The sequence below is a fragment of the Homo sapiens genome, chromosome 5 (genome assembly GCF_000001405.40).
Source record: "Homo sapiens chromosome 5, GRCh38.p14 Primary Assembly".
Classification (NCBI taxonomy): domain Eukaryota; kingdom Metazoa; phylum Chordata; class Mammalia; order Primates; family Hominidae; genus Homo; species Homo sapiens.
The window spans coordinates 169,185,269-169,209,296 of NC_000005.10; the positions used below are offsets into that span (position 1 = coordinate 169,185,269).

At 44.7% G+C, this 24,028-nt stretch overlaps 1 protein-coding gene across 3 annotated transcripts in view; it reads right to left on the reverse strand.

Moving 5' to 3' along the window:
* The window catches only part of SLIT3 (slit guidance ligand 3), a 639,400-nt gene that overhangs the window by 523,529 nt on the left and 91,843 nt on the right, over nucleotides 1-24,028 (reverse strand). For all 3 annotated transcript variants that reach the window (NM_003062.4, NM_001271946.2, XM_017009779.1), the window contains exon 4: nucleotides 8,211-8,282. In NM_003062.4, coding sequence (NP_003053.2) covers nucleotides 8,211-8,282 — 72 coding nt within the window. The remainder of the gene's footprint in view (nucleotides 1-8,210; nucleotides 8,283-24,028) is intronic.

Here is a 24,028-nt window from a genome sequence, read left to right on the forward strand (position 1 = left end):
ATCGGGACTCAGTTTGCAGGGACATTTTCCATGAGCTTTGGGTGGCTGTGTCCCTGAAAAAACGTGACCCCATGTATGAGATGGTGAGGCTGGTCTTGCCGTCCCCCGGCCTCTGAAATCCATGCCAGCGCACAAGGGAGCAGGTCTCCGCATCCAGCTTCAGGCAGGGGGGCAGCCTCTGAAGCCCCACACCAGCCTGATGGATTGGTTTTTCTGTTGTGCTATTATCATTTCACCACATCAGACAATAACTCCACTGGAAATTTGGGTAGTATGGTTTTTGTTTTCTCCACTGGTTTTTCACTTTTATAGCACTGTTTCACATCAATGCAGAGTTTTATAGGGACACATTTTGCTTGTAGTTATGTTTTAAAGTTTAGTGCCGAATTGGAAGACTAAGGTGACTGCAAAGGGCTCTGTGAGTAGCAGAAAGCACTACCTAGAGGTACAGGGCTCCAGTCATTCAACAACTCTGAGCTCTTTTAGGGCTTCATAGAGATAAGGGAGCTAGCATTTACTAAATTCCTAACTAGGCGCCTGGCACTTTAGTTAGTAACTTCTCCAAAGTACAGTACAGGAATCACGGTTAGGAATGTGGGCTCTGGTGTCAGGCAAGCTTGAGTTTCAACTTTGGCTCAGCCAGTTACTGGCTCTGTGACCTTGGGCAAGCTGTCTAAATCTCTAGGCCTCTGTTTCTGTATCTCTAAAATGGGGATAATATTGTATCTACCTCTGAAATCTGAGAGGAAGTGACAGAATATAGGTGAAGCACTTTGCAGAGGACCTGCCCCTAGTAAATTCACCACACACATTTGGGAACTGATTAAGGCTGAAATGCCCCTGACCCTCCCTCCCCGAAATGCTTATGTTGAAACCCTAATCCCAATACCTCAGAATATAACCATATTGGAGATCAGGTTGTTAAAGTGGCTATCAGGTTAAAATGAGGCCATTAGGGTGGATCCCTAATCCAACATAACTGGTGTCCCCATAAGAAGAGGAGGAGACACCAGGGTTATGCTACCACAGAGGCACAACCACGTGAGGAGGCAGCAGGGAAGGTGGCTATCTGCAAGCCAAGGAGAGAGGCACCAGGAGGAACTAATCCAGCCAGCATCTTGATCTTGGACTTCTATCCTCCAGAACTGTGAGAAAATATATTTCTGTAGTTTAAGCCACTCGGTGTGTGGTATTTTGTGATGGTAGCTGAGCAAGCTATTATAGGAGCTATGATTAGCATTCCTATTGTGTAGCTAACCAACACAAGACTGAAAAAGGTGAGGTCACTTGCCCAGGGTCACCAGAAGGTGGAATTCAAACCCAGGTCTGTCTGGTTCCCAAGTTTCTGATCCTTGCTCTAATATTGGACTGCCTCAAAGAAACATGAGATAATGGTTCTGAATGCAGCTCCCAATTTGTGTGGGCTTGGAGCATGTATACGCGACACCTGTGATAAAAGCAGAAAATGGTGAATATGAAGAGGCGGCGCAGACTAGCCAAGATGAGAGTTCAGAGGAGGACTCAGCCCTGGGAAGCAAGTTCCCTGGAAGCTGGAGTCTAGCAGCCTTGAACTTTTTGGTGGGGAATCTGCTCCACCATGATACCATGATAACAGCGCCAGTGACTTGGGGCTAAGTTGGTTGGCCACATTGCATATAGTTGTCGGGTGCCTGGGGATTAACTTTCCAAGTCACTTGCAACTCCACTGCCCAAGTGAATGACAGCAGGTTTAGCCTCAGTGGCATTTTTTTTTTTTAAAGCTGTCAAATACCTCGTATAACTGAATGGAGAATAAATAAGTCCTCCATCTGGCTGTGAGTACAACTGCTTATGCAGCTATAGGTTTTTTTTTTTTTTTTTTTTTGAGACGGAGTCTCACTTTGTCAGCAGGCTGGAGTGCAGTGGCATGATCTCAGCTTACTTCAACCTCTGCCTCCTGGGTTCAAGCGATTCTCCTGCCTCAGCCTCTGAGTAGCTGGGACTACATGCACGCACCACCACACCCTGCTAATTTTTGTGTTTTTAGTAGAGACAGGGTTTCACCATGTTGGCCAGGATGGTCTCTATCTCTTGACCTCGTCATCCGCCCACCTTGGCCTTCCAAAGTGCTGGGATTACAGGTGTGAGCCACCGCGGCCGGCAGCAGCTATAAGTTTTAAACCATTACCAAATATGGAACACACTATTTGAACCTGAATCTGGGATAGGTGGGCCAAAAGGAGCCCCTTGGTCTGCTCATCCTTATAGGGCAAGGATAAACTTTTTTTCTTTTCTTTTTCTTTCTTTCTTTCTTTTTTTTTTTTTTTGAGACAGTCTCGCTCTGCCATCCAAGCTAGAGTGCCGTGGCACAATCTCGGCTAACTGCCACCTCCACCTCCTGGGATCAGTGATTTTTGTGCCTCAGTCTCCGGAATAGCTGGGATGACAGGCATGCACCACCACGCCCAGCTAATTTTTGTATTTTTAGTAGAGACGGGGTTTCACCACATTGGCCAGGCTTGTCTCAAACTCCTGGCTTCAAGTGATCAGCCCGCCTCGGCTTCCCAAAGTGTTGGGATTACAGGCGTCAGCTACCGCTCCCAGCTGCAACGATAAATTCTTAAAAAAAAAAAAAAGTTGTGAACCCATGTGTCCCTCACCACTCACCCTCCGCCCTGCCGCAAGCTCTCACATCTGGTAAAAGACAGAAGGTGTATTTTGTTTGTTTGAGATGGGGTCTCACTCTGTCGCCCAAGCTGGAGTGCAGTGGTGTGATCTCAGCTCACTGCAACCTCCGTCTCCAGGGCTCAAGCGATCCCCGCACCTCAGCCTCCCAAGTAGCTGGGACCACAGGTGCAGGCCATCATGCCTAGCTATATTTTTGTATTTTTGGTAGAGGTGGGGTTTCACCATGTTGCCCAGGCTGGTCTCGAACTCCTGAGCTCAGGCAATCCGACTGCCTTGGCCTCCCAAACTGCTTAGATAACAGGCATGAGCCACTGTTTCCAGCCACGCAGAGGATTTTAATCACTGTCTGCATCTTGCCTTCTGCTCCTTCTAAAGAATTTCCGGCAATATTAACCAGTCAGCCTTTAAATAACCAGAAATCTTTCATTGTCTCTCCCATGAGTAGGTTAAAGAAAAACCTGGAAGAGGATGGCAAAGGGAGAAATTAATAGCCCATAGGCCATGCAAGATCATGCTCCATCCTGTCCTCTCTAGATGAAGCCCAGAGAGGCCAAGTAACATGCCCAGGGCCACACAGCTTACAGGTAGAAGAGCCAGCATGACGACTCAGGTCTTCCCACTCCAAGTGCAGTGTTCATCCAACCCTCCTCTAATTTGGAGACTGGACTCCTTCCCTAGGTGCTACAAAGTTTATACCACAGAGCCCAAAGCCCCAGCATACGCACTACTCTCATCAGCTGACCAGCCAAGGTCAGCCGTGGCCATCTTCCATGGAGCATTTACTACGTGCTTTGTTCAATGCCAATTATTTTCCCCCAGATAATTCCCATTTATCCTCACAACAACATGGAGAGGTCAGTTCTACCATTGTCTATGTTACTGATAAGAACCTGAGACAAGAGAGGTTAAGTAACTTGCCAAAGGTTTCAGGATACACAGTGGGCAGCCCCTTAACCCTTTCACTTGACTACCTCCTCCTGTCCTCTGCTCTGGGTCAGGTGCTGCAAGAGCCTAGAAAGAACAGAAGCCCAGTCTCCACACTTGACCATGATCTACGTCAGGATGGCAGGGGACAAATATTTATTGAGTGACCCAAGCATCGTAGAGACCTCACTGGGCATTTTGCAGACCACAGCGATATAAGTTCAGGGAACTTCCAAGATCTGGGATTCTATAGCTCATGTTCTGTGTGTTTGAACACAGAATAAGAGGACAGACACCCCACTAATACACACATGAGTCGGATGGCACTGGCTCTGAGGATGGGTGCACGGAGGGTAGCCAGCAAAATCCTAAGGGAATCCCTTGGATATATGACAGGTCCATCACCAATCCTTTTGAGCATAACTTCAGCTGCCCACGGTAATTAGCATGGCAGTGTGGTATGGTAGAAAACATAAGGACTTGGCAGAGACACAGATGTGTACTGAGTCCCAGTTCCATTGCATCCTAGTTATACAACTATGGGTAAGTTAGATACCCCTAAGCTTTAGAAATAGATTTAATGATTCTCTTCGCATGATTGTTGTGATGGTTAAGTCTAAGCATTGAGGCAAAGTGCCCAGTACAGTACTGCTTCTTAGATAGATGGGATATATATATATATATATATATATATATATATATATATATATATATATATATGCAGTAATCTAAACTTTGAGCTTTAATTTCCTCCTCTATAAAATAAGAGCATTGATTGAGGCTTAGGCAGGGAACTCCCAGTAGAGACAAATGCAGACTCTGGAGTCAGGTTTACCAAAATGTGAACCAAATGTGAATCCTGGTTCTGCCGCTAAGTAGTTGTATGATATTGTTCAAATTCTTTAACCTTTCTGCACTTGTTTCACATCTATAGAACAGTACTAACCATAGTACCTATCCCACAGAGTTGTTAGGAGAATTAAATGAGTTAATAGACATGAAGTGCTCAGAACAGCACCTGGCACTCAACGTGTTTACTAGCGCTATTATCTATCTAAAAGTGCTATTGTAAGGATCCAAAGTACTCAAAGCGCAGGGAACTGCATACAGTGGATGCTCAATACACTAGCAGACATCTGTTGTTTTTACATTTCACATCCCCTCTTCTGTCTTCTGATAACAAAATTACTCTCTACTATGGGGAACCCATTCTCTAAGCAAGTGGGATGAACACAGCTTGATAATCAGAGGACACCATCTCATTAGCAACATTGATTGGCTGGGACATGGGCATATATGACCAAGCATTGGTTGGCTGGGACATGGGCATATATGACCAAGCTAAGTAATCAGTGTCTACCCTCAGTTCTTTCTGACAGGAACATTGACCAAGGCCCTCTTCACCAGGATCTCTGAATTAGTGCATTTTGAGTCTTTTGCATTAGCTCACAAACAAGTCCACGGTTCCAAGGGAGTGAAGGAGCAAGATGAAGACTTAATGACATCACCAAGCCCCTGGATCCAGCTGTTCCTGAAGCCATTCATAACTACCACTGCTCTTCTCAGTTATGTGAATCAATATATTGCCTCTTTGGGCTAAACTAACTTTAGTCACTAAACTAACTTCTGTCACTTGCTAGTGAGTGGTGTTATAGTCACAGCATAGGTTCTAATAAATATTATTTCCCTTTTCATTACTATTCAAAGCCTGTTTTTATTACATGACTATAGACTTTCCAAGAGATAGTCTTCAGATAAACACGAAATATTAAGTAGTTTTGCCTATAAGACTAATAAAAAAAGTAGTATCAAGAATTGTTTATCCCACATGGCATACTCTGGTGTAGCCACCCACATAGAATCCACATTTAGCATGAAAAATGCCTCACTGTGTCTATTGAGATGCAGTGCTCTTTCAAAACAGAGCCAGTGGCATATGTATACACACTCATGATTGCACAGCTATTGATTTCTAATTTGTACCCTGCTTACTTCCAAAAAGGCTCTGGAGTGGCTGACAAAATAAGACAATGACACAAGAGGGCCATTAAGAAAAATCAAAGATCAAGCCCAGAGAGAAAAAGGGATTGCTGATTATAGCCCAAACTTGGGTTAATATAGCTGCTTCAGTAAAAAAAATTATATTTAGCTCTCAGCTTTTTGGCAGCCATTCAAAGTGTGTCATAATAGGGCACATAGAGAACTGGGCATCCTTCATGTCTACAGCTCAACACCCAGAACAGAGGCCATGCTGGAACAGACACCCAGGGAAAACCTTACTGAATGCGTGAGTGAATGAATAAATGAATGAATAGTGGATAAAAGAATCAAAGCTCACCAAGGGCACTGTTTATATCTTTAGGCCTATATCATTCATTTATTCATCTAACCATTCAACCATCACTGATGGAGTGCCTATGTGTGCCGAGCTATGCCCGGACACGGACCCAGCAAGAGATGGATACCAAAATGAGTCAAATACCATTCCTGCCTTCCCAGCTGCAGCTCTCTGACTTGAAGCAAAAGCTCAGGGTAATTTACCTCAGTGCTTGTTGCAACTCCTAGTCTCTTCATGCCTCCCAGAGAAAGGAGATCAGAAACTGAGGTTATAAAGACAGGAATTGTAGGAGTAATAATAGTTGTCTTGGTGCTTACACTTATACAGCACTTTACAAAACACAAGTACACCATGATCTCATTGGATACTTACAGTTCCTCTACAAGGTAGGTAAAAGGGAGGAGAGGGTATCTCCCTTTACTGATGATATTTAGATACCGAAGGAAAAGTGACTCTCTCAAGCTCTCAGGACGTGGCAGAGGACATAACTCATAGGTTCCCCATGCCCACGTGCCTGGCTCCCAGAATCTCAGAGACCTGTTATCACCACTTGAAATTCCTACTTTGCCTGGATCAAGACCAACTCTGCAAAAAATGGCCATCACCTGATAGCCATGGGAAGGTTTCTGTGAGCAAGAACCAGCCCACCTGACATGCTGCAGCAGCTGGGATGCTCAGACCCCACCCACATAAAGTCGTCCAGCATTCCAGCCTCCCAGGTACCTTCCCTTTGCCTTTAAATTGATGCTTATGTCTCAGATGAATAGTATATACTCTGCTGTAGTACTTAGTTAACAGCAGGTTGAAAGGTGCAATGCAGTACTGGGTGGAGAGATAGTGATTACGTGAGCATCTAAGGGCAGGGCTATGAAAGGCAGGGGATGTTACAAACCAGGGTGTTTCTGGTATGCCCATTTGGCATAGTTTATCCAGCTCTTCTGGACCCCCGGGCTGCTGAACAGCATTTCCTCCGCCCCCATGCCCATCCAGGCAGACCCAGACTGGAAGAGTAAAAAGGAGGGTATAGCCTTTCCTACATTTAGCAAAGTCAGCTAGGGCGACTGAGCCAGAGAGATGGGGCACACAGCAAGAGGAGACCTGACAAAGTGCAGGTGTGTCCTAGAGAAGGCAAGCGAGACCACTGCATGATTGGAATACCAGCCAACCCTTGCCTGTTCTTGTTCCAGCAAAGTGCCCTTTTAAAATAAATTTATGTATATAGTCTCTGTGTGTGTGTGTGTGTGTGTGTGTGTGTGTGTATAGACATATAGAAATATATATTCCTAATTCAGAACTCATTCGTAAGTGCACACACTGACATGTGTTTCATGTTTCCCAATTTATCCCAGAGCCTATATGCAGTGTTTGGCTGCACAAGTAGGCATTAAATGCAACCACTGGGAATGAGAATGGTGGCCACAACGTTGGAGCCTCCCTGCAATGTTAAAGCCTTCCCAGCCAGGCTGTAAATCTTGCTACCTGACTGCAAAGCCATCCAGGACTGTGTCGCTTCATTCAGAAAGGTGTACCTTAGGCAATTCAGTACACCCCATGAACTGAGTCACTGCCAGCATGATTTCAGGTTCACTGTCGATAATTTAATTAGCACTTGCCTGACATCTACAATACATGAATCACAGTCTCCACCCTCACCTGCAACTCCAGCTCCTGGGCTTCCAAATTCTCCCACTGAATAAATAGAAGTATCTCCAACTCTCCCCTCTCCTCATTTTACCCTGGATCTCTGAAGAGAATAAAGCAAAATTCAACACATTTCTTCCTTTTCCCACAAAATCATAAACCCCCAGACCCAGGGTTCCTAGACTGGCAGCGCTAGGAAGTGGGAAAAAGGCAGGAGCTGCTTCAACCAGCAAGGTGATGAGGTTGCCATGTTCGGTCCAAACCGTTGCCTTCTGAGACCACTGACAGTCTCGTGTGAATAAACCTATCTCAAACCCCACCTCAGGGAATTTACCTGAAGTAAGTTCAGACCCACAATCCATGGAAGCATCGCCTCCCTCCTTGCAAGGCAACGATGGACTACCACACATCACTAGTCCTCACTGGTCATGCAAGCCGCTGATGTCTGAGAGAAGGAGCAAGAAGTCAGGCCTGGAAGTGTTTGTTGGGGGTAGACGTCATGTCAAAGCCCTGCTCCAAGTCTCTATGTCAGGGCCTAACTGCCAAGCTCCACACGGCACGGCGCTCCACAAACCACATCCTCCACATCACCCAAGCCAGGCAAGGCACAAGGTAGAGAACACAAGGCAACTCTACTCACAGTCTGGTGAGCTTCGGCGTGCTCTGGAAAAGCAATTCTGGAAGGACTTGCAGCTTATTCTTGTTCAGGCGCCTAAAGAGGAAAGAGAATGGAAGGATGTCAAGGGGACATTAAACCAGATCAAACGTATTCAGATACCACTTTAATCAATCAGTCAATCAATCAATAGGCATTAAGAGACTCTCTACGTCTTTCAGTATGGGCTGCTCAACACATGTAAGGTATATTCCCTGTTGGCGGGGCTTAGAGTCAGGTTGGGAATGCAAAGCAAAGGTCAGTCAAAAGTAAAAATACAGCACATGCGCTGTGCTGCCACACCTCCATCAGTCTTGGAGAGACATCACTAATGGATCACAATATTCCTTCCCATGGACTCCAGACAAGACTTTTGAACTTTTCTCACCATGAGCTTCGTGTAGCTATTACTGAGTGATGAAACTGGCATGTGAAATACACACCTAAAAACATAAATGGGCCAGGCACGGTGGCTTACGCCTGTAATCCCAGTACTTTGAGAGGCTGAGGCAGGCAGATCATGAGGTCAAGAGATCGAGACCATCATTGGGCAACATGGTGAAACCCCGTTTCTAATAAAAATACAAAAAAATTAGCTGGGCATCGTGCTGCATGCCTGTAGTCCCAGCTACTTGGGAGGCTGAGGCAGGAGAATCGCTTGAACCCAGGAGGCAGAGGTTGCAGTGAGCTGAGATCGTGCCACTGCACTCCAGCCTGGCGACAGAGCAAGACTCTGTCTCAAAAAAAAAAAAAAAAAAAAAAAAAAAAAGAAGAAAAAGAAACCTTAAATGAAATATCAGAGGAAATATTCAGGATCCTAAACAGTGATTGTGGGAGCAGATAGTAGTTGCTTCAGGAACAAAGAAGAGGGCATGGCAGATCACCTTGGACTGAGGAACAAAATGGAATTCTGGCCATCTTGGCTCTGTGGACCAGAGTAGGATTCCATTGTGAGTTTTGTGGGTCCTTGGCAATTTTGCCTTTGTGGGCTGCTTTCTACATCAAATTTTTTTTTAATATTACATTTTATAACTATGTCGGTATAAATGCAAATATATTATTACATAACATTTCTACCCAAAAGTTCATTTTTGTCTTCCAATATTAGAAGAAATTAAAACATTTTCATGGGCCCCTAACAGTATTGTAGACCCTTATCACCATCCCTGGAGGTGGAGAAGTAGGCCCTGGGTCAGGGACCAAGGTCTGGGCATGAGGTATGGCTTGTGGCAAAATCTGCCCAGTAGGGATGGCTCACATTGGATGTTGGCCAACGGAGCCAGTTTCTCTTAAGCATGGTCAATGCTAAACACCCACAGAAAGGCTACCTGAGTTTTTAAGTGACACAGAGCCATCATTATGATCTCCATGAAGGCTGCTTTCTTCGGAGCACTGGGCCAAGAGAGACGCCCTGCTGCATGCTAGCCCCATGCCCCTCTGCCCTAGTGAGTTGACACAGCCTAGCAAGGGAAACAGGAAGCCACCCAAACCATGATTAAAGCATACACCCCACAGTCCCCCAGAATCTTTCAGAGCCAAAGAGCAGTTCATAGCCTGGATGAATTTTTCTACTTAGAGTGAATTGAGTATGGCCTATTACATGATGTAACTATATGATCCCCATCTGAGAGCTAAAGCTAACTAAGGAATAGAAAAGGTGAGCTTCTCCCTAGCTCCTGGCCCCAAAGCCCTGGCCCCCTTCCCCTGCCACCAAGCAGACATGATTTCCTATTTGGGATTTTGCTCCCATTTCCCCCCTTTCTTCCTAGGTCTATGGACAACAACTTTAGAGGGATGAGCGACTAGAAGGAGGTCAAGCAGGACAAAGCATGTGATAGAGAAGCATTGAAGACTTCACATATAATAAGCCCACTGTCAAGAGGGTGCTACTCAGCCTGACAGCCATGCAGCGAGTGGGTAAGCACTGGGCAGGGAAGCCATCCACGAGACTCCTGATGAGGAGGAGGCAAGGAGGAAAGGCTGGAAAGTTGGATAAGATAAGCTCTAATTCCCTGGCCACCACTGGGGCTGACTCTTGTTTTGTTTTGTTTGAGACGGAGTCTCGCTATGTTGCCCAGGCTGGAGTGCAATGGTGCAATCTCGGCTCGCTGCAACCTCCATGTCCCAGGTTCAAGTGATTCCCCCACCTCCGCCTACCGAGTAGCTGAGATTACAGGTACACACCACCATGCCTGGCTAATTTTTGTATTTTTAGTAGAGACGGTTTTCACCATGTTGGCCCGACTGTTCTCAAACTTCTGACCTCAAGTGATCCGCCCACCTCAGCCTCCCAAAGTGCTGGAATTACAGGAGTGAGTCACCGTGCCCGGCTGAGGGAAGCCTGACTCTTACCCCAGTGCTTTTTATTTTTAAAAAATTGCAGTAAAATCACATATCATGAGATTTATCTTCTTAGCAATAAAAAAACTGTACACTAAAAGTGTAGTTAGTTCAGTAGCGTTGAGTATATTCACATCATTGAACAACTAATCTCCAGAACTTTTTCATCTTGCAAAACCGAAATTCTGTCCCTGTTGAACAACAACTCCCCATCCCTCCTTCTCCCAGCCCCTGGCAATCACCGTTCCACTGTCTGTCTCTGATTTTGCCTGGTGCTCTTTGACCACTGCCAGTATCTGCTTTTTGTGTGTTCCCATCACTAAAGTAGAAAAAAAAAAAGAGGGGGACTCCAGGAAGAGGAGGATGAGGCAACATCTATTTTTATGTTTTGAGTAGTTCCCATGTACTCAGCGATAACAGGTGGAAGCCGTTGGAACTGGAGAAGGCTTGATGTGATGTATGTGGGATTCACCGGGGCTGGGCACAGGTCTGGCTATATTGTGCTCTTGCTGTGGGATCTGAAGCAAGCTATCTAGCCCTTTGGACCTCAGTTTCAGATCTGCAAAATGGGTTACAGTGAGTCTTAAATGACACAGTGTCTACGCAAGCGTTCAGCACTGCAATAAGAGCATGACAACAGTGATGATAATGGTATGGATTGAGTTCTACATGCATGTCAAACGCCATGCCACGTGCTACACAGGCAGGATCATAACTGCAGCAGTGCTCATGGTAGGTGTCATTATTAATCCTGTCTCATACAGAATGAACCTGAAGCCTGGGGAGGTCAAGCCATCCCCAAGGCCACAATGTCAGGAAGTGGTAGTGGCAGGATTTGCACCCAGTCGGTCAGACTCCAGAGCTCTAGTTCTGAACCACCATGCTACTCAAAGCCTTTCAATAAACAACAGCTCCCTCTCCCTTTCCCTTTCTTAATTTTTCTGTTTCTTTTCATCCAGAGTTGCCACTTCCTCCAACCCATCCAAGGCAATGAACCACCCTGTGTACATTGCCTTCCCTGGAAAGGAACTCTCTTGGAGGTCCCTAAGGCAAGAACTGAGTCTCTATGTGGGTCTGTCTGGAACCACCCTCTATTGTCACAACTGTACAAAGTCTTTTAAGAGTTATATTCAGAGAACCAACACTCCATTCCAGGCAAAAATCCTAAAACCCAGCTTGCTGCTGTCTTCAGTGAGTAGGGTGTTCGGTTTGCTGAAAACCCTAAACCAGAGTTGAAGCTAAAAATAAAACCAGCTTGGCTCCAAGGCTCCTGGAAGGGAAGGAATCATTTTCAGTTTTTTGCCGGTATTTGTGGCTGGACAAAAATAAAAATATAACTAAATTTAGCCAATTGTGTGCTGCCCACTGCTTCATAAACCCTGAATGAGGATTCTGGGACAGATGGGTGGGGCTCTGCTCCCAAAAGCCTTGGGACCTTTCCACTTAAGCTCGAGCAGGTCGCCTGCTGGTTCTCAATATCAGAAGGAGCTAGATACTGTATTTCCAGGTAACTCCAGGATTTACTCATATTTACTGAGTAAATATGGGCCTGGAAAGTCTTCCTTGAAAAGATGATGAAGGCTCCAAGCTGCATAAGGTACACTTCCCATGTGGCTTCTGTGAAAGCAGCCCCTCAACAGGAAAATGAACAGAATGAGACATGCTGTTCTCCTGATAAACAGGTAAGTGCCGGGTGCAGACAGTGGCTATTGGCCATGGTACACTCATGCCATCTGCTGTTCTGTTACTCTGGGTCCAGAGGTGGAGATCTCCTGCCATAGTTCAAGCTGGAAGTAAATCCATGATTACTGAATGGAGAACAGGACTGAATGGAACTCATATGAGGACAGAACTGAGGAAGTCAGCAAATGAGATGTGGGCCAGGGCAATGACAGGATAAGGCCTTCCTAGGTATTCCCTCTCCCACTAAGATCAAAACTCCTCAGCTTTCCTGATGCAACAATGGGGAGCATAAAGGTAAAAAAAAAACCAACTGGCTGCTGAGTTGCAAAGCCATACTGCTTTTCAGCCTGAATTGAGAAGCACTAAGAAATAGGCCCTTGTCTTTGTGGAACCACTAAAGGCCTTTCTAGATGTACCTGGGTGTAAGATATAAATAGAAGTTTTTGCCACTTCATCGAACCCATCCATGTATCCATTCAACCATTCATCCATCCAACTGTTCATTTATCTGTACATCCAACCACCATCCATCTATGCATCAACCAACCCATCTACCCAAGCATTCACTCATCCGTCCAACCACCATTTACCCATCCATCCATTCTTTCATTTCTCCAGTTTTTCAATATGAACATACAAAAATGAATAAGATACAGCCCCTTCTTTTAAAAATGTCATATGCTAGTGAAGAAGACAGACCTGAAAACAAAAAATTGCCATGTTCTTGAAAGCGAAGGTGTCGTGGGAACACAATGGAGCAGCAGCTAACCCAGTCCTTGTTAAAAGAAGGCTTCCCAAGGAAGATGGTTTTGAGTTTAGTTTTAAAGGATGACTAGAACTCTTTAGGAGACAGAGGTGGAGACTTCTAGACTGAGAGAGCAGTATGTGCTCTGTACTCCATGGAGGGCCAGGAGACAGGAGCATTTGGGAAGCAGGCTTGCACTGCTAGAACACAGAGGTGACCTGCGAACACAAGTGATGAAGGTGTACAACTAGGCAGCAGTCATACCACAAAGGGCCTTTTTATCCATAATAAAGAATTTGGGTTTGGCTTTTTACAGATAGTAAGAGGGAGCCAGAGAAAGGGTTTGAGCAAGGGAGTGATAATCTGGTTTGAATTTTAAAAAGTTCTCCTGGCCGGGCGTGGTGGCTCATGCCTGTAATCCCAGCACTTTGGGAGGCCAAGGTGGGCAGATCACGAGGTCAGGAGCTCGAGACCAGCCTGGCCAACATGGTGAAACCCCGTCTCTACTAAAAATATAAAAATTAGCTTGGCATGGGGATGCACATCTGTAATCCCCGCTACTCGGGAGGCTTAGGCAGGAGAATCACTTGAACCCAGGAGGCAGAGGTTGTGGTGAGCTGAGATCACACCACTGCAAGCCAGCCTGGGCAACAGAGCAAGACTCCAACTCAAAAAACAAACAAACAAACTATACACACACACACACACACACACATATGTGTGTATATTTATATATATATATATAAATACACACACACACACACACACATACATACATATACACATGTCTCCTGAGTAGCAGTAAGCCCAGTTTGGAGGAGGTTGAAATCGGAAGCAGGAAAACCAGTTAAAAGTGTTCTTGGGTAACTAGTGTCTCTGCATGAAGACCTAATTAAGGATAACAGTGCAGCTGAAGTGTAGGAGAGAGAGGTGAGGTATAATCGGCTGGGTTTTGTGACAGGATGTACGTGAGGATTGGTCTCTGCGTGAAGACCTGGTTAAGGATAACAGTGTGGCTGAAGTGTAGGAGAGAGAAGTGAGGTATAATCGGCTGGGTTTTGTGACAGGATGTACGTGAGGATTCAGGGAGTTACAGGAGTGCGGGTATGAAAAGTCGCTCCAGGTGGGGTAACTGATCAGTCAAATTACCAATCCCTAATGAGAGGAATAGAGAAGGGAGGAACACTGTGCGGAAGGTGGTGTGTTTAGATTCAGGATTTCTGCAATGCTGAAATCTCTCAAATATGTTTTGACAGCTAATAGCAGTAGTTAGTAATAATACTAAAACCATGAGCCAGGCATTGTACTGAGCACTTTACATGCACTACCTCATTTAATCTCCATGGAAACGTTTGGAGGCCAGTGCTCTTAGCATCCCTATATTTAGGAAATACTGGCCTAAGAAGGTTAAGAACTTGCCCAAAGTCAAGCTTGACCAACGTGATAGTTGGTGGGACTTGAACCCAGGTGCCTGCTGCTAAGCCTGTGCTCTTACCTACTATGTGTAGTGAGAATTCTTAATTTAGCCCTTCATTATAAACTGTCTTATCATCTAAGTTTCAAGGACTAAGGGTGGGAAATACAACTAAAAAGTCCTTTGCGTCCCAACAGTAGCCAACACAGCATCAGGCACACAAAGAACCTTCCAGAAGGGCCTGCTGAATTTCATGAATAAATCAAAAGGTAGGAAAGGCCAGCTAGGGGAGCCTGATGAATCAATAGCCCTGCTGATCCGGGAAGTCACACTGTGTGAGGGTAAACAGGGCTCCCAGAGGGCCTGCCTACCTGAGTCTGTCTTCATCATTCAGAAACTTCTTAGAGACTCAGCTTTCAGAGGTATCAACCTCACTGACAAGCAAGGTGAGCAGGGCGAAGGGGTCACTACTTCCCCTCCCTCAGGAAAGGGAAGGGGTGAGGGGCCACTAGGGCCTGGGCATGGCCCACTGCACATCAAATCCCCTCCTTTCCTCAGGGAGCTGTGGGCTGTCAGCTGCCCAATCAGGCCCGAGGGAGGAAGAAAGTCAAAGTGTGCTAACCCCTACAGGTCACCAGGACTGCTTGCTTTAGTAATGAACTCAATTGTTTCCCCTTCCCCAGGCAGCTTCTTAGGCAGCCTGAATTCTTTCTCCGTCTACTGGTACTTTCAGAAACACTCACATGTCTCAACAACAAGAACCCAAGCAGCTTTGTTATCTAGTGCAAAAGCTCCAAGTCACCCCCAATGGAGAGAGGGAGAGGGACAATGCTTCCTGCCAGCTGCTGCTCCAGGCCAGCAAGCGCCAGGGATGATGACTACAGACTCCGGGCAAGGGCAGAACCAAACTTCACAGGCCTCAAACATCAGTTCAGAGATGACATCATCAACTATGAAGATGTACAGATGTCACTATAAATCGGGGGCAAAAAACTTGAACTCTGGAGAGTCAAAAGAGTAGAGATCCTTGATCTGGGGCTGTTCCCACTAGTTGTTTACTGTAGTCACTGAAGGCCTCTTACTTCCTTGGTTTCCTCACCTGTCTAACAGCCAATTCAGGCTTTTTTTTTCCTGCTATGCAAATTTTCATAATGCAAACTGGATGTAATCTGAGCAATTCAGCAAGGAAGCTAATTTGTGATGGTTGTTGGTTTATACCAGTGTCATGATCAGGAATGGTCCCCATATGTGGGGCAGGAAAGTCTAATGGCTTACAGACTCAATACCCAGGGCCATTTTAGTTGAATGATGCTATTCTTTGCCTTTGAGGCTTCCCTTTTTTGGAGGGACAAGCAGCTTCATTGAGATATAATGGAGCTTCCTTATAGTAAGTGTGGACCAACCCACAATTTATTTTGATGGCTTAGCTGCAAGTTGACCTGAGATTTGTCTTCCATGGTATTCAGTATTTGATCAATGACATTTAGGCTGGCTTACATCAGTTTTGAAATCAGTTATTTTTTAGTTTGTAAGTTCTGAAAGTCCTAATAGCAATTAAAAACCCCTTTATTTTTGACATTTCTATAGGAGAAAGAAGTTTGTGGTCATACTTTAAAATTCTGATCCCTAAGCAGTTTTTTTTACCCTCACTGAAGATGTTTGCAAGAACCCTTTTAAAAAATAACCTAAAGATTATTTTAGGAACACAATTATTATGTAATAGCAAAACATGTACCTCATGGGATATCTGAGAGGGCTGAATGGTTTAACATCTGTAAAGGGCTTTGCAATGTTTCTCAAGGGCTCAATAAGTGGTAGCTGTTACAGCTACTGTTATTATCAGTATAATTGTCCCTAGATGTCCCAAGAGGTTGGAAATTCAGGAGATTTATTTCTCCTTCATAGATGACTATATCAGTCAGCAAGGCAATAACAAATGAACTCCAAAATCTCAGTGGGTTAACACAATAAACACTTATTCCACACTCACATAAAGGGTTTGTTCCATATGGTATGATACCTTAGAGAACATGTGGCCTCCAAGGCTGCTGTGCCAGGGGAAGAGAAGGAAGGAGGAAGTACATCAGCTCTTAACTCCCTTGACCCAGCAGTGACTCATACCACTTCTCACATGATTGGCCAGAACTAGTCACATGGCACAAACCTAGCTGCAAAGGAAGCTGGGAAATCTACAGGAACACTTGGATATTTTGTTGAGGACTATCTTAACCACCAGTATGCCTTAAGCATCAAAACAGCACAGATCTCTTTGTCAGCCAGGTGCAGTGTCTCATGCCTACAGTCCTGGCACTTTGGGAGGCCAAAGCAGGAGGATTGCTTGAGTCCAGAAGTTTGAGAGCAGCCTGGGAAATATAGTGAAACCTCATCTCTACAAAAAATCCAAAGAATTAGCTGAGCATGGTGCCACACACCTATAGTCACAGCTACTCAGGAGGCTGGGTGGGAGGATTGCTTAAGCTTGGGAGGTGGAGGTTGCAGTGAGCCAAGATCATCCCACTGCACTCCAGCCTATGCAACAGAACAAGAGCCTATTTCAAAAATAAATAAATAAAATAAAATAAAATAAAAATCTCTGTCCTTGTCCATCTATCCATCCTTCCTTCCTTTTTTATGTTCACATAGGGCACTTACTACTATGAGCTAAGTGTTGTGTTAGGTGTTTTATCTGTATTATCTCACTTCGTCCTTAAAGAAACTCTTGAAGCAGACACTGTTACAGTCATTAAGATAAGGAAACTGAGGCACAGCAAGGTTATGTAGCTTTTCCAAAACCACACAGCCCAAACTTAAGGCTTGAACAGAGGTCTCTTGGACACTAAAACCTGTGATTTTAACCCCCTTGCCATTCTGCTTCTCTAACTTTTTGGAGCCTTGGTTGACAGAAGGATGCCCAATAATCCCAGCAGGGAGGATAGAAACAAGGAATATTTGCCGGCCATGCCTCTCTGGTTTCAGAAGAAGGCTATGAGAGTCTCAGGAAATCCTTGCCCTATTTATGTGGTTATAGAGAACTCTGGGAGCTTGGTCAGGATCACATCCTACTGAGATCCAGCTCAGGACTCAAGTATGAAAAGAAAACAAGCACAAAGCCCCCCCACCCCACCCCTGCCCGCAACACACACATACCAAACAATCTCTTTTGACCTTTCCTGTACCTCACATTGGATTACTTTTTCTCCAATGACATGGCTGTTAGGGAAATGTAGAGTACATAATGGCCTGAGCCTGCCTTGCCTCTGACCCCTGCCCTGGCTACTCCCATATGCCCCTGATGCCCACAAATGCCCCTGCATCCAGAAGATCTTGATTTCAGGAGAAACGAAGGGGGTGAGGGAGAAGATGGACAAGAGTCCTGTCTACACAGAGGTGGAAAATCACTGGTTCTGCAGAGAATGGGCCAAAAGGCACTGTGAGTCCTCTAGTTCCAGGATGGCTGACTCACAGGCCTAAGTAAATTTTGCCCAGAACAATGCAGGGGAACCCCAGAGGCCGTAGCCAATAGGTTGCTTTATCTAGGACTAAAGTCAAGGGCATGGGTCTCTGGGGAGCCCCAGAAGATTGTACAAGGGTATATATTAGTACACTAGGGCTCAGACTCCAAGAAAACATATCTAGGGTGGAAGAAAGCACATATTTATGCGTGCATGTGAATGTGCACACACACACACACACACACACACACACACACACACAGCAGATAATAATGTACATGCAAGTTAATAGTCATTTATAACTTCAGAGCTGGCCAGATCCATTTCAGGCAGTCAGACCACTTGGCAATCACCAAAGCTGCATCCCTATAGTGACCTCTTCCCCATGACATCTCACAATGCGGCCAAGAAAGCAGACAACTCCCCAGATTCAAGAATCACTCCTGGATCTCTTTTGAGATTTTCTACTCTTGCAGCTTTCCCCGGATCAGAGTTTTTGCACATGCTCTTCCCTTCTCTGGGAATGCTCTTTACCCTGCTACCAGGATAACAGCCGCAGAGGTGTTAAGAAGTAGTCAAATTCTATAAATAATTTGAGGGTAGAGCAGACAGGATTTGCTGATGGATTGGAGGCAAGGCAAGAGAGAAAAGGGGAGTCAAGGATGAGGCTGATATTTTGGCCTGTGCATCTAAAACTTTGGAACTACTGTTAGCCAAGATGGGGGAAGACTGTGGGTAGAGCAGGGGGTTGGGGGCAGATTTGGATATGTTAAATTTGATATGCCTACAAATATTCCCAATTATAGATGCCCAACAGATGATTGGATATACACATATGGGGCACTCAGGGATAAGACCAAGATAGAGAGATGTAGGTGGTAATTTAAAGCCATGAACTTGGATGTGGTTACCGTGGGAGATGAAGACAAGGCAAGAGGAGTGTGGACTGAGTTCTGGGCTACACGAGCCAGAGAGAGGAGGAAACAGCCCCCAGTGTGGTGGGGGAGAAGCAAGAGAGAGCATAGTTGTGAAGGCCAAGTGAAGGGAGAGTTTCAAGAAAGGAGGGAGATAGGGAGGGAGGGAGGAACTGGTTAGCCAACTTCTGCTGAGACACAGAGAAAGATGAGGATAACATTGGGTTGGGCAATGAAGAGCCCACTGGTGACCCTGCAAAGAGTTGCTTGGTCCAAAGATGGGCATGACCTATTAGCAGGAGTGGTTCAAAAAAGAGTGGGGGAAAATAAAAAGGAACAATGATGTTGAGACGTCCAAAATAAAGGAGGAGAGAAAACGGGTTGATAGCTAGGAGAGAATGTGGTCAAGTCGGGTTTTATTGTTTAAGATGGAGGAAATCGTGACATGCTTCAGTGCTGATAAGAATGACATAGGAGCGAGGCACATTGATGATTCAGGGGAGAGAGGAGAAAAATTTTAGAGTGAAGCTCCTGAACAGGCAACAGAGGTAATCCCAGTGCAAAGGGATGGCAGTGGCCTTTGGCAGGGCCAGAGACGGGTCACCTGTGGCAACAGCGGGAAGGCAGAAGTCAGGGGACGGGGGGTGGCAGATGTGGTGGTGGGTGTCTGTGGAGGGTCTCTTCTGACCACTTCTGTTTCCTCAGTGAAAAACAAAGCCAGATTCTCAGCAGAGGCCAGGGAGAGATGAGGAGGTATGATGACTGAGAAGGAAAGGTGAGACATCGCTGCTTAGGAAAGGCTGGAGGGTTGCCGGGCGGCAGCCAATGCCCATTTGAGGTTAGTGGTCATGAGCTGTAAGTGAGATTCGTCCACAGAAGTGTGTGTGTTTCTTCAGCAACATTCAAGTCCCCTGGGTGAGAGGGTGCAAACAATAGAAGGCTGAATTCAGCCAAGGTTAGGGCGTTTCCAGGCAACTATGATGGAGGAAGAGAGGGGCCCAGGAATTGAGGGAATGTGCTGAGAGCAATTATGAAAATGAGCCATGAAATCTATGCTGAGTAATGAGGGAGGGGGCCTCATTAAGCGGGTGAGGAATGGTGACAAACGACAAAGTCTATGAATTATATGCCTCTGCAGGGTCTAAGAACTCTTGGACAGGGCATGGCGCTGGGGCTTAGGAAGGCTGTGCTATATAATTCTAGCTCTGCCCTAGAGCTATGCAACTCCATGTAAACCACAGCCCTGGTTTCCTCCATCAACAGAATCAGTGGGTTGGATGAGATGAGTCCTAAGATGACCTATTCTATTCTCCTTATTCTGAGAGCTGGAGAGAATATTTGAATTTTAATGTACTGCATGGCCTTAGGATTTAATCTCCCTATGCCTTGGTTTCTTCATGTGAAAATGGGCATAATGATACCTACTAGGATATCCATTCAAATGTGTAGTGCCATGAGAAGATTTTTGTCTGTTTTGTTCACTGCCACTTGAGCCTGGCAACTAGTAGGTGCTCAATAAATACTTGTTGGTTAGTTGGTTGGTTCATCGGTTGGTTGGTTCATTGGTTGGTTGAATGACTAAATGAGTGAATATCTACTCCACTTATCTAACAGAATTACTGAGGAACAGATGAGCCAAAGGGGGCAAACTTTGTGAAGAACTGAAAGTGCTATAAGTTGCGTGCTGCTGCCCAAGCCCCCTGTGCTGGCTATTTCACTTCAGCTGTTAAAACTAGAGTATTTCATTAGGCACCTTCCAGAGTATCGCAACCAGGTTACTGAACAGTCACAATCACAGTAGCACAAATCAAACACTTTGACCCATACTGCTTGAAAGAGGGTCCTGAGAGCTTGGAGCAAGAGGCTCATGCCAGCAGTTCTGTGCAGTAGGGTGAGAGAAGCAGAGGCAGCTTCAGAACAGAGTGAAGCCAGAGTCAGGGCAAGCATTCTTACACCAGGTGGGACATCCACATAAGGTTTCTATATGAGAAGAGTGAGGGGTGCAATTAATAAAAGGAAAAAGCAGATTGCCCCCAAAAGCTAACTTTCTCTTTTTCCATGCTGCCTGGGAATAAATATGGCAGGGCTATGTTGGGGGCAGGGAAGAGGGACTGAGAATGCGTTAGCAACACTCTGCAAAAGCACGCTCCATCAAGACATTAAGCATGCCTTGGGCAGCCTGTGGTTAATATCTACTCATTTCTATGAGGAATTAAGAGAAAAATACTTCAGGCAGCTATTAGGATTTTTTCCCCTTTTAAGACCCCCAAAACAATGCAGCAAAGCTGGTTCTAAATCAGATGGCATGAGCACAGCCCACCACAGATTCTCCATGTTCTCTCTGGGTTATTCTAGGCCTTTCATCTAGGTCTCCAACCCCTTCGACTCACAGGTAGGAAACTGCCAGATGCAAATTGAAATAGAAATACTCTAGCTAGTAGATATCAGGGAGGGCAGGTACAACTCAGCACAAATTTTCTGGAAGTGTACTGTTTAAAATGATCCTGTTTGAACCCATTGGCCTTTTCTTTTGTTTTGAGTTAGTTCAAAGTGACAAAGTCCTGACAGTAAACGATTCAAACATTCCTAGTTTGTGAATGACAAATTTCTCTTTCATTTTTGTTCTAAACACTCAAAATCTGCAAGATCTCTTAATGATGGTGTGCCTCTCTGTGTGTTTATCTAGGCATTTACATCTACATTTACATATACAGCAACAACAAAAAAAGTTCTTTTAAGCCTTTTCTGGCATAAGCCAAAGAACGTAGAATAATTATCTGTGACCAATTCTCATCTATAACTAATTAGAATTTTTATTTTCTCATAGCATTTCTTCCCGATTCAGGTCCAAGGTTTTTTTGTTATTTTTTTTCTTTTGCTAGAAAAGGAAGATACCTGGATAATATGAGAACTGTAGGATGGAAAGGGAGCTGGGTAAAAGGGGGAAAGGGGCACTTTTCAGATTGCATTGTCACTTCGATCTGATTGAATCTTTTCCTTATTCTTTTTTTTTTTTTAATGCTTTTCCAGCACGGGAAGGATTTCTCAACCCTCTGGCTATTGCATTTGAACTGAAGTCTGCAGAAATAGTTTAAGAGCCCCCGCTCACCTCGCTCACTCCCACCTCAGGCGAGCAGTTCCACATCCCAACCACAGCTTTGCGATCCCATCCAAACTTATTGGCGTTTCAAACTGAATCCCAGATGTTCACTTACTGAGAAATAAATGAATGGCCCAATTCGTGGACTGAAGCAGGGACCCTCACAAATAGATTCCAGGTGTGTTGGCCTCTGGACCACTATCTTTCTCTGTTTTACATACACATACATACACACACACACACACACACACACACACACACACACACACACACACGGCACCAAGTCCATCCTGAAAAGAATTCAACGTCATCTCCAAGTTAGAGCCAGTATAGGATGAACAGAGGTAGTTACCTAACACAAATAACATATTTTCAATTGTGGATGAAGGCAAAGGGCTCCACATTCACACTCTTGTGCCTTCAATAACCAAAATCATGATGTGTTTGATGTTCAAACTCAGCTTAGGCTTAAAAGAACTAAGAACGGCTAAATGACCTGAATTATCATCACTGTTCATTATCCATCTTAGCTGCCTTCTTGTGTTCCCCTGTGCTATGGTCCAAATGTTTCTGTCCTTCCCCCACTAAAATTCACATTCAAAATTCAACCACTGAGATGATGGCATTTGGAGGTGGGACCTTTGGGCGGTGACTGGGCCATGAGGGTGGAGCCCTCATGAATGGGATTAGTGCTTCCTTGCATCTTCCACAATGTGAGCACATAAGCTAGAAGGCGCCATCTATGACCAGAAAGTGGGTCCTCACCAGACACCAAGTATACTGGCACCTTCCTTGATCTTGGACTTCCCCTTATTTATTTATAAGCCACCCAGAGTATGCTATTTTGTTATAGCAGCTGGAATGGACTAAGACTACACAATTCTTATGTCAAATTTAACAAGCACCTACTGTTTGCTTACCTGGGGGCAAACAGGGAAGAAAAAAAAGAAAAGGAAAGATCTGCCTCAAAGAATTCATAGTAGTGTTTTGAAACATCAAAATTCCAGTTGCTTACTTATAAATTAAGAAATTCATATTCTGTGAAGAAAGTCATTGGGTAGCTTGATGGGAATAGCATTGAATCTACATATTATTACTTTGGCAGTAGGGCCATTTTCACAATACTGATTCTTCCTATCCATGAGCATGGAATGTTTTCCTATTTGTATCCTTTCTTATTTCCTTGAGCAGTGGTTTGTAGTTCTCCTTGCAGAGGTCCTTCACATTCCTTGTTAGTGGTATTCCTAGATATTTTATTCACTTGGTTGCAATTGTGAATGGGAGTTCACTACTTTAAATTTCATATGGAACGCAAAAAAGAGCCTGTATAGCCAAGAAAATCCCAAGCAAAGAGAACAAAGCTGGAGGCATCATGCTACCTGACTTCAAACTACACTAATAGGCTACAGTAACCAAAACAGCATGGTACTGGTACCAAAACAGATATATAGACCAATGGAACAGAACAGAGGCCTCAGAAATAACTCCACACATCTACAACCATCTGAACGTTGACAAACCTAACAAAAACAAGCAATGGGGAAATGATTCCCTATTTAATAAGTGGTATTGGGAAAACTGGCTAGTCATATGCAGAAAACTGAAACTGGACCCCTTCCTTATACCTTAGACAAAAATTAAGATGGATTAAAGACTTAAAAATTAAGATGGATTAAAGACTTAAGTGTTAGCCCTAAAACCATAAAAACCCTACAAGAAAACCTAGGCAATACAATTCAGGAGATAGGCATGGGCAAAGAGTTAATGTCTAAAACACCAAAAGCAATGGCAATAAAAGCCAAAATTGACAAATGGGATCTAATTAAACTAAAGTGCTTCTGAAGAGCAAAAGAAACTATCATCAGAGTGAACAGGCAACTTACAGAATGGGAGAAAATGTTTACAATCTATCCATCTGACAAAGGGCTAATATTCAGAATCTACAAAGAACTTAAATTTACAAGAAGAAAACATACAACCCCATCAAAAAGTAGGCGAAGGATATGGACAGATACTTCTCAAAAGAAGACATTTATGCAGCCAACAAACATATGAAAAAAAGCTCATCATCACTGGTCATTAGAGAAATGCAAATCAAAACCACAATGAGATACCATCTCACATCACTTAGAATGGCGATCACTAAAAAGTCAGG